Genomic DNA, 12,916 nt, shown 5'->3' on the forward strand with positions numbered 1-12,916 from the left:
CTGTTTGAACATTATGGTATGGTTATTGCTTTTGCCTCATTGTCCTATTAGTTTGAAGTTTAAAAAAACCTAACCCGCCTTTCTTACCCAATCTGCTATAATGTGACGACCAAAAAGTCTAGTCCCAGCCCATCTGCCTCAACTCCTCTCCCTTTTAGGTTGTAGGGAAGAGGCTGGAGTGCAGATTGTATCTTCTGCCCTCCTTATGCCAACAAGATGGCCTTCCCCTCTGAAACAAAGTAAAACTGCAACACTGTGACTGCTTAAATGAGGGATATGTGAAAAGGCTATGAAAAATACAAAAGCTTTCCTAGGAAATGTATTATAATGCAGTGGGAAGCTAATTACTGAAATATGCATATTGTAGTCACTCAGTCTCACATACTCTAGTTACCAGCAAATAAGTTACTGAGAATATGTCATTCAAAGGCGTAGAAGCCTTTGAAAGGAGCAAATGCTTTCACATCATTTAAACTAAAAAAAAAAAAAAAACTCCAACAACTATGAATTTATAGTTTAAGATCAGTTAACACTGAATTTCAAATAAAAGGACTATAAAACTTGTCATTTTTCTGTAAGGGCTGTAACACATAAATACATTTCAATATCCCTGTTTTTAAATAAAATACACATTTATACAGAAAAAAGTTTATAAATTAGGCACAGTAAGAGATAACTAATAATAACTAACAATAACTAATAACTAATAAAATAATAATAACTAATAATAAAATGAGATAATTATAACAGTATGCCAGTATCACTACTGTTGCACTTTGGGGCAATATTAAGTAAAATAAGGGTTACCTAAACAAGTACTGCAATACCACAACAGTTGATTTGATAACTCAGAGGGCAACAATGGGTAGCGTCTACAATGTGGATACATTGGACAAAGAGATAATTCCTGTCCCAGGTGGGCAGTTTAAAACTTACAAATTGCTTATTTACGGGATTTTTCACTTATTATTTTTGGACCACAGTTGATAACTGAAACTGTGGAAAGCAATACCTTCGATAAGAGGACACTACTGTATATCTTCCATAAATCAATAAGAAAAGATATAAACCATAGACAAGTAGATAAGTGATAGGAATATGAAATTCATGAATGACGATATACAGATAGGTGATAAACATGAAGAATGTAATATCACTAGTAATCAAGAAACTGCAATGTAAAATAGCAACAATCTTTTTTTAACTTACCTATTTTTATCAAAATTTAAAAGACTGATATTGTGCTAGCTTTGGATGCCCAAAAATATGACTATCATCATGTATCATTGTTGGTACTATAAATTGGTGAAAGCTTCTTGGAAGGCAATTTGACAGTTTCTTAGACTTTAAAAGAGCACCTTAAATCTCAGGAATCTGTCTTATAGAAATAGTTACATGTAAACACAAAGTTAGATACAGGGATTATAACTGCAGCCTAAATCTGCCTCAGTCAGAGAGTGGTAAAATAACTTATGGCATATTCATACTATAAAACATTATGATGCTGTTAATAAGAATGAAGTAAAACAAAATGTTTTGACATGGAAAGTTGTCCAAGACATTTTATTAAGTAAAAAAAGCAAATTGTTCCCACAGACACATACATACACAGTGAGGGTGCACACATGTGAGAAAGATTCCATTTCTGTAAGAAACAGTTACTTATCTAGGAGCTGGAGGGGACAACCCAAGGGAAGAGCTTTAGTTATTCTAGGGAGAGGAGTTCCAGTGATTGAAGAGAGGAATAAGCAGGAATCTCTGTGTTTTTCTCTCTATATTTCCTTATTGTTTGGAAATTTTACAAGGACTCATTTTCATGTAAATAAAAACTGACACAAGTGAATTATAAATAAAAGCAGCTGGAGGAGGAGCTGATAACAAATAGTTGGGGACATAGGGGAAAGATTCAGGGATGAAATAGTATTTGAGAAGGGTCTTGAAGGACCAGTAAAATTTGGAACTATGTCTTGTGTTCAAGGGACATTCCAGAAAGAGGAAACAAAATGGGAAAAGAGGGATGTGTACAAAGAGAAAAATAAATATTCAGCCAGAACAAAACATCCATAAAGGGTAGTGGACCGGGCGCGGTGGCTCACTCCTGTAATCCCAGCACTTTGGAAGGCTGAGGTGGCAGATCATGAGGTCAGGAGATCGAGACAATCCTGGCTAATGTGGTGAAACCCTGTCTCTACTAAAAATACAAAAAATTAGCGGGGCGTGCTGGCGGGCACCTGTAGTCCCAGCTACTCAGGAGGCTGAGGCAGGAGAATCACTTGAACCCAGGAGCCTGAGGTTGCAGTGAGCCAAGATTGTGCCACTGCACTCCAGCCTGGGCAACAGAGTGAGAATCTGCCTTAAAAAAAAAAAAAAAAAAAGAGTAGCGGTGGCTGGGCATGGTGGCTCACGCCTGTAATCTCAACACTTTGGGAGGTGGAAGAGGCTGATCACCTGAGGTCAGGAGTTCAAGAACAGCCTGGCCAACATGGCAAAACCCAGTCTCTACTAAAATTACAAAAGTTAGCTGGGCGTGGTGGCACATGCCTGTAATCCTAGCTACTTGGGAGGCTGAGACAGGAGAATCACTTGAACCCAGGAGGCAGAGGTTGCAGTGAGCTGAGATCATGCCAGTGGACTCCAGCCTGGGTGACAGAGCAAGACTCTGTCTCAAAAAAAAAAAAAAAAAAGTACCAAGAAGTGAGCTAAAAAGAAATAAATGGAGTTAGCTAGTTGTCCATTGGAGATCACTGAATGCATTGGAAGTTTTTTTCTTCAGGCCTTGAGAGTCACTGAGTCCAAATAGCACAAATAGACCTGGCAGTATGTCACAGATAGACTAGTGCAGGGGAAGGCTGGGTGGAGGTCAGTTAAAACACTCATGTCCATAACAGGTAAGGAGGGATTGATCCAAAGTAATAAGTATGGGTATGAACAGGCAGGAAATGCAAGACAAATTATGGAGGTAAAATTAACATACCTAGGTATGTGAGCCGAGTGAGAGAGGGAGGATGAAAAATGACAAAGGGTTCAATCTCATCAAAGATGACTGTGACATTAGTAAAAATAAGAACAGTGAGGGAGGGATTTGTCACCCAACCACTGTCATCCTCCAGTGTCTGCCCTTGGCTTTAATCCTGAATTGCTAGCTACTGAAAATTTCGGTACTGTCCTACTTTCGCTGAGTTCTTTGGATTGCAGCTCAGCTGTAGGCTTGCACTAAAGTCACTCTAAGCTCAGCTACTGCTGTCACTCCAATGGCTGCCCTGTCAATTAGCAGCTATGTATGTCTTTTCTGTCCTGTACAACTTATCATTGCTGTCTGCCTCTCTCTGTCTCTCTACCCACATTGTATCACCTCAGACAGAGAATCCACTTCCATTGAGAATGGGGTCAGAAGACTCATGTTCCACAGATTTTTACCTTGACTTCCTTGAGCATAAGAATGATAGAAATTTTTGTTTGTTTTTATTTTTTTCTTTTATTTTTAGTTGGCACATAATTATACATATTTGTAACATACAGGGTGATATTTCAATACATGTATATAGTATGTAATGATAAAATCAGCTTAGTATATCCATCACCTTATTTATCATTTCTTTGTGTTGTGAACATTTAAAATCTTCTAGCTTTTTGAAAATACACAATAAATTATTGTTAACTATATTCACCTACAGTGCTATAGAACACTAAAACTCCTATCTACCTGTGATTTTTTTTCCATTTTTAACCTCTCCTATCCTCCTCTTCCTCTTACCCTTCCCAGCCTCTAATAACCACAATTCTACTCTCTACTTCCATGAGCTCAATTTGTTTTTAGTTTCCACATGAGTGCCGTTCTGTGCCTGACTTATTTCACTTAACATAGTGTCCTCTAGGATCATCCCTGTTGCCACAAATGACAAGATTTTATTCCTTTTATAGCTGAATAGTATTCCATTGTGTGTACATACCATATTTTCTTTATCCATTCATCTGTTGATAAACATTTAGGTCAACTCCATATCTTGGCGATTGTGAATAGAGCTGCAATAAATATGGGGGTGCAGCTGTCCCTTCAATATACTGATCTCCTTTGCTTTGGATAAATACCCAGTAATGAGATTGCTGGATAGTATGATAGCCTTATTTTTAGTTTTTTGAGAAACCGCCATCCTCCATTCTGATGGCTGTACTAATTTACATTTACCACTGAAACTGTGTAAGAGTTGCTTCTTTTCTGCGTCTTTACCAGCATTTTTTACTTTTTGTCTTTTTTATAATAGCCATTCTCACTAGAGTAAGATATCTTATTATGGTTTTGATTTGCATTTCCCTAAATATTAGTGATGTTGAGCATTTTTTCATATACTTATTGGCCAATTTATATGTCTTGTTTTGAGAATATCTATTCTTTGATCATTTTAAAATCAGATTTTTTTTTTTTGCTGTTGAATTAAGTTCATCATATATTCATTAGTGCCTTGTCAGATGAATACTTTGCAAATATTTACTCCCATTCTGTAGGCTGTTGATTCTGTTGATTTTTCCTCTGCAGTGCAGTAGGTTTTTAATTCGAGATTAGTCCCATTTGTCTATTTTTATTTTTGTTGCTTATGCTTTTCAAGTCTTAGCCATAAAATCTTTGCCTAGGTCAATGTCCTGAAACATTTCCACTGTGTTTTCTTCCAGTGGTTTTATAGTTTGTTTAAATACTTAAACATATTCTTATAATCTGATGATTGTGAAATGGTATTTCTTTGCTATTTTGTTTTGTATTCCCCGATTACTAGGGAGATTGAAAAGCTTTACCTGTGTTCTCTTGACATTCATTTTTTCTTCTTCTGTGAATAGTCTATTCCTGTACTAATGTTAATGTACTAATGGATTAATATTTTTTAACTGATTTCTAACCATTTAAAAATACATTATGGACTCTAATTCCATACTAGGTTATGATAGTACCTTTATTTTTTTAAATGATATATTTATTTTGTATCATAAAAAATAACATGTTTATTATAAAAAATTAGAAAATAAAGAAACACATTATAAAGAAACATAAAACCCCTGTGATCACATTTCCCAAGAATAATAACTATTTTCAATTTGGGATCTATCATTAGAGTTTTTTCTTGTTATGCATATATACCTTTCTGTTTTAAAAAGCTAGGATTGTATTATACATATACCTACTTTATTGTTCAGCTTTTTTAGCGTTTAGTCTTTCACTTAATGGGTAGCACTCACCTAGCTGGTAAGCTCAATGAAGGTAAGGGCAGTATTTTATACTATTTGGAGTCTTGCATAGCACAGAGTCTTTAGTAAAAATTTATTAAATATTGACTTGCTGTTTCCTCCATTTCAGCACATCCAGGTGTGAATGGTGTCATGGTCCCAAGTTTGGTGAAGGTTTTCGTGTCATCCGATCCTGTGATATTTTTGGAGCATCACAGCTTCCAGTTATGTTTTATGTCTGTTCTCCTTCTTGCTATAGAAGAATAAAGGAAAGCAGTTTTGTTTTAGATGGTAGTCCTAGTAGAAGAATAGCTCTAGATGTGGAGTTGTCAAAAGAATTATAGTACAATGATTTATCGTATGTGTGTGTATATATATATATATATATATATTTATATATATATATATTTATATATATATATTCATATATATATATAAACTTTACTGGCTTTTACTGCATATATATCTGCATATAGTAATTCATCTCTTTGAAAGTAGAGGTTCTGTTTGGAAGACATAAGTGTCTTCTCATACGAATTATCTTTGTAATTCTAGCTCCTTATGAAAGTTTGTGATTGTTTGGGAATTGTTGCAGAATAATTACTCAAGGAGGATTAGTAAAGCCTTTAGATTTGAATAAAGCTCTAGAAAATTTCTTTCAGAGCCTGTTTACTATAAAAGGAAAAATGTTGGAATCCTTTGCAAAATGGGTTATGTCTTACAACTGGTCTTTTCATGCATCCATACTAAGTGATGAGATAGCATTGCAGAGTCATCAGTGGGGTATGTGCTGCATAGAGCTTCAATGTCACACATCCAAGTGCTCAATGCTTGTGCATTTCTGTGGAAATCTGACCAGCACCTTCCATCTCAATTGTAGGTTGTTTTGGGGAATAAAAGATTAATTCTATCCCCATTTGTTTGTTTAAATTAATGTCCCAGGTTCTTAGAGAACTGGTACAGTCTTTAATTGTTACCTTGAACTTCATGTCCTAAAGCTGAGCAACTGGACATTAGTCTGATTCCATAGGCTAGCACCAGCATCTACCAAGGCCTACAGTGATAGCCTGACACAAAAATAAAATACAGCTTACAAAATAACATTGCAAAGCAGCATATACATATAGTAAAACTTACTTTAAGAATTAACGTTTGGTAAGAGAAAGATAAAAGGGCATTTTGATATACAAACAACTTTAGAATGGCATAGAATTGTTTCACATATCTTTACACACAGTTCACTTAAATCTCAAATATCATTGCTAAATTTAGTGATATGAAATGATTTACACAGCTATCATCATTAATGTCAGAAAATATACATTGTCATGTTTGTGTGTATCTTTTAGTGATATCATTTAAATAAAGATAAATCAGGCAGAATAATTTTTCTATTGATTTCAATAAATTGCAATGCTTACACGCTTTTCCTTGAGACTCTGTTTCATTTTTCAGCAGAATCAGGTAAACTTTACTTTGCTTGATAAGTATACACTATATTCTCCAGCATAAGAATAAAATTATTTATAATGAGAGAAGTAACTACCATATTACACATGCATGCAGAAAGGGATATTTATAGTATGATAAATTAATTCATTAAAATGTAATATACTCATAATTAGAAAACAAGATGAAGAAAATAATACTAACTCCCTGTGGCATATAGTTTATTAATACTCACCCTTGTTCCTGAAATATTTCTTGGGGAAGAAATATGTTTATTTATTTATTCAAAACATGTTGGGTTTTGGTTTAACTGAGTAATTTCTCAATGAAATAGGAAATAAAAAAGAATAGCTTTCAAGGGAAATGACAAATTCTGAGGGACGTTTCAAAACTAAATATACCTAGATACTTAGACAAATATGAAATATACTTAGAACCCAATCTCTTCATGCTTAGTATAAACCTTGAATCTGAGTGATCTCTTATAGATCTTCCAAAAAAAGTAACTTACAGTATTTTTTAATGAAAGTAAGACATATTTATTATAGAAATATTAGAAAATACAACTAAACCTAAGAAGAAAACAAAATCCTCCTTGTAATGCCTCTGTAACTCAGGTTCAGTCATCCACTGCTTGCAGAGTCTGAATAACAAGAGCAAGGTCTGGTGGGAAAAAAAAAGTGACTTAATTCAAGAGCTACCCGAGGGGAAGTAGTACAGGCTCCTGCCCTGAGATACCACTTCAGCCTTCAGGGCAGAAGGCAAGGGCTTTTAAAGGGGGGATGGGGAGGAGGGGAGGAGGTGCGGGGTCTGTGTGACTTGCTTCAGATGTCTTATCTATCATGTGGTCTGGCTGGCGCCATGGCAGGCAGCTACGTTGTAAATTGAGGCAATCTCTTAGTGGGTGAGAGTTCCAGAGGGGCCTGATTTGCTTCAAGTTTTGGTCTCTGCAACTTCTAAGTAAACACATAGATAAGCTTGCCATACCTGATGGAGAGAAGGTAAAGGTTATAATTGCATTCCTAAAGAGCTAAGTAGGAAGCGGGGGAAAAGGAAAAAGAAAAAAAAATCATTTTTTTCCTTTTAAAAATGGGGTACTCGGCTACACCATCAACCAATGAAAGTCAGAGGCAATCATTTCAACATGTGTATGTGTGCATACATTTGTGTAATACATATGTGTAATACATTTATATAATGTATTACTTTTTTTAAAAATGGGATTATCTGCCTCACACCACAACAAAGATTAATTTCCAATTTTAGGCCTAAAGGTCTAAGTTGAAATATAAAAATAAATAGCTATGGTCTTTAAAAAATCAGATTTAGATTTTTTTAAAAGCGGGTAATGAAACCTCAAAGAAAAGATGAACAAATTTACCATGTAAAAAATTTTTAAATGTCTGTCGAGCAAAAATAACCAAAAATAAAGACAAGCAGCACACTGGGGAACATATCTATACTATATATGACCAGAAAGAATGAGGTTTTCAACAACAACAACAACAAAAAATATATATATATGTTGTGCATGTGTCTCCTGGCACAACTCATTCAGGACTCAAACTGTGTCATCAAGGCATTATCTAGTTTTCTGTCTATCTAATCTAGCTCACTCTATCTATTTATCTATCTATCTATCTATCTATCATCTATCTCTTACCAATACTTTCTAAAAATTTTGTCTCATATCCAGGTAATATGGATGGTCACTAATCATTCCAGGTTCATGTACAAGAATCTCAGGAACCTCAGAGGAAAACACACTGTCTATCCCAACTGTTACTGTAAAATACATTAGGGATGATTTTCATTGGCTCAGCCTGGGTCACAAATCCAAATACAAACAAATCATTAAAGCTTCATGGATGGCATACCCTGGCCAGGCCTGAGTCACATGCCCATCTCTGGAACTGGGTAAGGCAGAATTAGCCCCTCCCAAAACATACTAATTAGATTCTCCACAAGAAAGGAGAATTCTAGAACTGAAAACTAGGGGAAGAAAAAGTGTTTTGGACAGCTAAAATCTGGAACTGTCAGAGACCTCTAAAACATCCTGACATCCAATAAGCTGTTACAAGTAGCAATAACAACAAAAGATGACCTTAATATAGCTATAACAATCAACATTTAATTTTTGTTTTTTACCATAATAAGTCTAATAATTTTCTGCTAAAAAATACTTGTGCGTATGTCTAAAAATATATTCAAGTATACTTACCACCAGGATATTTACAATAGTGAAAAACTGGAAACATTCAAAGAGTTCATCAATATGTATGTAAATCCATACAAGGCACTATCATTCAGTCATTTAAAAATTAGATAACTGTTTCCTTAAATGGAAAGATATCTACCAACTAGTTTTTGAAAAATATTTACTAGGTAACATAGTCACATAACTCAAAAGGTACAAAAAAGTGTATAGGATAAAAATTCTTTCTTTAACCCTGATGCCTGGCATCCTTTTCCCTTCTCAGAGACAACCAATGATATCAATCATTTTGTATTCCAGGATAGCTTATGCATATGTATGCTAACATATACATATATTTCTTCCTTATCTGTATAATATTAGCATAATATATACTCCTTTCTGCATCTTTCCATTCAAATTATGTCATAGAGGTTATTCCAGATCAGTACATTATTAGTTTATGTTCTTTCTTTATGGTTTCATATTATTCCATTGGGCAAACATATATAGCTTATTTCACCAGTTTACTACTTGATGGACTTTTAACTTTTTAACCTCTTGCTTGGAAAAAAATGTTGTGATGAATAAGTTTGTATGTTTACATATATCTGTGGTATAATTTCCTGGAAGTAAATTGCTGGGTCAAAAGGTATGTTCATTTATATTTAATTGGGAGTTGGGAAAAATATGTATTTATTTGCTTTTTAAATAGGTAATACTAGCATACTTTACCCAGCTCAAAAAAGATTTAAGAGTGAAAAGTCTATTTCACATTAATTTCCTTCAGATGCCCACATATTGTTAACCAGCTTCTTGCATTTACTTAAACACTAAGTACCTATAAGGATGCAGCTGTATATAGAAGAATTTTCCTTATTCCAGTAGTGCTTTTTTTTGTATTATATAATTTAAGAACAGCATTAGCGTCATTCATACACTTGTTAAAAATATGGATTCTCAGACCTACCTCCAACCTACTAAATCAAAATCTCTGGGAATACTATCCAGGAATCTTAATTACTACCCGGTCTCCAGGTGACTCTAATGCTTGCTGAGCTTGAGAATCACTGTTCTCCAGAGGTCAGAACGCTCACACCAAAGTGTTGATTCAAGAGAGGCAGGTGTTGGTGTAACATACCTCATTATCTTTTCATTAGTCTCAACTATACATCATTATCACTGACGATCTCATCAATAAAAATTATCCCAAGAATGCAGGCCTGGTTCTTGTTTTGTTTTGTTTTGTTCTTTGTTTTCAGACAGGTCTCGCTCTATCACCCAGGCTGGAGTGCAGGGGCACGATCTCAGCTCACCGCAGCCTTAGCCTCCTAGGCTCAAGCGATCCTCCCACCTCAGTCTCCCGAGTAGCTGGGACCACAGGCAGGCACCACCACATCCAGATAATTTTTATATTTTTTGTAGAGACAAGGTCTCTCTATATTGCCCGGGCTGGTCTCGAACTCCTGGGCTCAAGAGATCCTCCCACCTCGACCTCCCAAAGTGTTGGGATTACAGGCATGAGCCACCGTGCCCGGCTGCAGGACTGGTTAAACATTCAAATATCAACTAATGTAAGCCACTGGGTAATCACTGTAAGACCCACTTTATCTGTAACTTCCAAAACTCCAGGAGCACCAGAGAAAGAAGAGAGATGAGTGAATGTTTCTGTTTCTAGGTTTTCTTGATCATTGTTGAAAACATCTCAATAACCAGGCTCTTTTTTATCCTTCTTATTCCTTGACTTGCTTGCCTTCCATTCCTTCTCTTTCCAGCCTCCCTCCTGCCCTCCTCTTGTTCCTTTCTTTCATTCTTTTCTCTTTTCTATCTTTTTCTCACTCCTAGTGCAAAGTGTGCTTTGTTAAATTAAGACATGTAGGGGGACTAGGAATAACGGAAATTGTCTGTCTGTAAAATACTCAAGAGTATTGCAAAGTCATCCTGCGACAGTGAGTATGTGTGCATACAACTGCCTGTATACACAAAGAAAAAGGTTGACAGAAGCCAACTGAATGGTAAACAATGAATTCATGGTTATGTCTGGGAAACAGAATCTAGGGTCTGATTATAGGGTCCTTTGCTTTTGGCTAGATGAACTTCTCATTGTTTGAATTTTTAATATAATTATGTATTACTCTTATGAAAATTAAAAATGTTTTAACTTTTAATGGGATCATATAATGGTGACACTTTCTATTTTTCTCTCCTCAACCTTATATCACAAATACCTTTCTGTTATGATATTCCAACGTTGATGTGTCATTATGGAAGTGCCCCAATTTACTTATCTAATATTCTCTAATTAAATTACCTTCATTTTCTCTTCTATTATAAACAACAATTTGATAAAGAACATTTCTAAAGCTAAATCATTGCCAAAATCTCTACCCATTTTCATTTAATTTTGATATAAATTTTTTATGATAAAATTGTTCTTCATATCAGTTTACCTCTTCACCAGTAATGTATAAAATGCCCTTTTTTGCCTAAGCCCACATTACTGATATTAATTAATTAACTAATATATTCATTGCCAATTAGACAATGTCACTGATTTTTGTTTATTACTAGTAAAGTTGATTTGTGTTCCACGTTAAATAATCATGATCCTATTATCTTTTCTGATTTTTCCTTTTACATCTTTTTCTCACGTTTCTATTGGTATGCTTGTTTATCTTATTGATTTGTAACAGCTTAGTTAGATAGATAGATAGATAGATAGATAGATAGATAGATAGAATATTAACCTTCTGTCATGTGTGATGAAAATATTTTTCTCAGTTTACTGCCTGCCTTTTTGAAGTGAGATTTCTTGACGTAACGAAAATGTAAATTTTAGATTATAAAATCTATCGCTCTAGTTTTTGTTTTTCTTCTTAATGCTAAGCTTAATAAGCCCTTCTTCAGTCCTCAAATTACATATTGATCTAAACTTTACTTATTTTATATTTTTATCTTTGATTCACCTCAGAATTCATCTTTGATTCACCTCAGAATTACCTCAGTATGGTAAGTGATGTGTGGTTCCACAATTCAAGTCTTTATAGAATTCTGGGAAGTTGTGCCCTCAGCCATTATCTGCTCAATCTTTACCCCACCAATCTGAAATGCTACTTACGATACACTAAATTCTTACATGGTTAGGCCATTTTTTTCCTCCACTTTCTGTGTCATTAACTTGTTTATGTAATGCCAATACCACACTGTTTTAATTATTTTAACCAAAACCAAGCCTCAATATATCTGATTTATCAAGTTCCAACTAATTGCTATCCTTATGTAAAACTTCTTAGCTATTCTCGTACCTTTGTTTTTCTATGATAATTATTATAATCCTTAAAATTATTTTGTTTTATATCCCTTTCCCACACCACATAAACTGTTTTGGATTTTGGTTAGGATTACTTTAGTTTGAAGAGAACTGAGAGCCACACCGGTTAGAGTCTCCCATCTGGTAATGTGCGTTTAGCTTCACTAATGTGATCATGAATGTGATAATTCAGTCATTGGGGAATTCACTTCTCTATGATCCATGTTTTTTACGGTAAAAACAATATAGTCTGAAGTTTTTGTCTGCCTCTTACTTGGATATTATGCTTATGCATTTACTCAAAAAGTATAACTTCCAAGCTCAGGGTTTTGCCCGATATATCTCCCATGGAATACTCTGCCTTGTTCTGACAAACTGGTCGCCAGCTCTGCCTGCTCTCTGTCCTCTTGTCCATTATCAGAGTTTTGTGTGGAGCAGGTATTCTCAGCTGACTGTGGTTAAAAGCAAGGATGAGAAGGTAGAGCAAGGTGTTCTGAGCCCCCTTCACTAGGGATTATCATTTTGTGCTTGTAATCTAAGGGTTGTGTAATATCCTGTCTACCTCACAAGGGATATTAAATATCGTGTACCCAACAGCTCCGAAGAGACAGCGACCATCAAGAACGGGCCATGATGACAATGGCAGTTTTGTCGAAAAGAAAAAGGGGAAATGTGGGGAAAAGAAAGAGAGATCAGATTGTTACTGTGTCTGTGTAGAAAGAAGTAGACATAGGAGACTCCATTTTGTT

At 35.1% G+C, this 12,916-nt stretch overlaps 1 protein-coding gene and 2 long non-coding RNA genes across 9 annotated transcripts in view; 1 reads left to right on the plus strand and 2 right to left on the minus strand.

Moving 5' to 3' along the window:
* LRRC63 (leucine rich repeat containing 63) overlaps positions 1–5,870 on the plus strand; it is a 65,188-nt gene extending 59,318 nt beyond the window's left edge. For all 7 annotated transcript variants that reach the window (NM_001282460.2, XM_017020422.2, XM_017020431.2 and 4 more), the window contains one exon: positions 5,345–5,870. In NM_001282460.2, coding sequence (NP_001269389.1) covers positions 5,345–5,558 — 214 coding nt within the window. In that variant the 3' untranslated portion in view covers positions 5,559–5,870. The remainder of the gene's footprint in view (positions 1–5,344) is intronic.
* Positions 3,456–12,916, minus strand: part of LOC105370194 (uncharacterized) — a 47,059-nt gene continuing 37,598 nt past the window's right edge. The window contains exon 3 of the long non-coding RNA XR_941946.4: positions 3,456–5,467. This is a non-coding gene — a long non-coding RNA (uncharacterized LOC105370194). The remainder of the gene's footprint in view (positions 5,468–12,916) is intronic.
* On the minus strand, positions 7,179–8,596 carry LOC124903170 (uncharacterized). Its single transcript, XR_007063785.1, has 2 exons — positions 8,541–8,596; positions 7,179–7,650 (listed from the first exon to the last, which is right to left on the minus strand). It is a non-coding gene; the product is annotated as an uncharacterized LOC124903170 (long non-coding RNA).

This window comes from Homo sapiens, chromosome 13, assembly GCF_000001405.40.
Source record: "Homo sapiens chromosome 13, GRCh38.p14 Primary Assembly".
Classification (NCBI taxonomy): domain Eukaryota; kingdom Metazoa; phylum Chordata; class Mammalia; order Primates; family Hominidae; genus Homo; species Homo sapiens.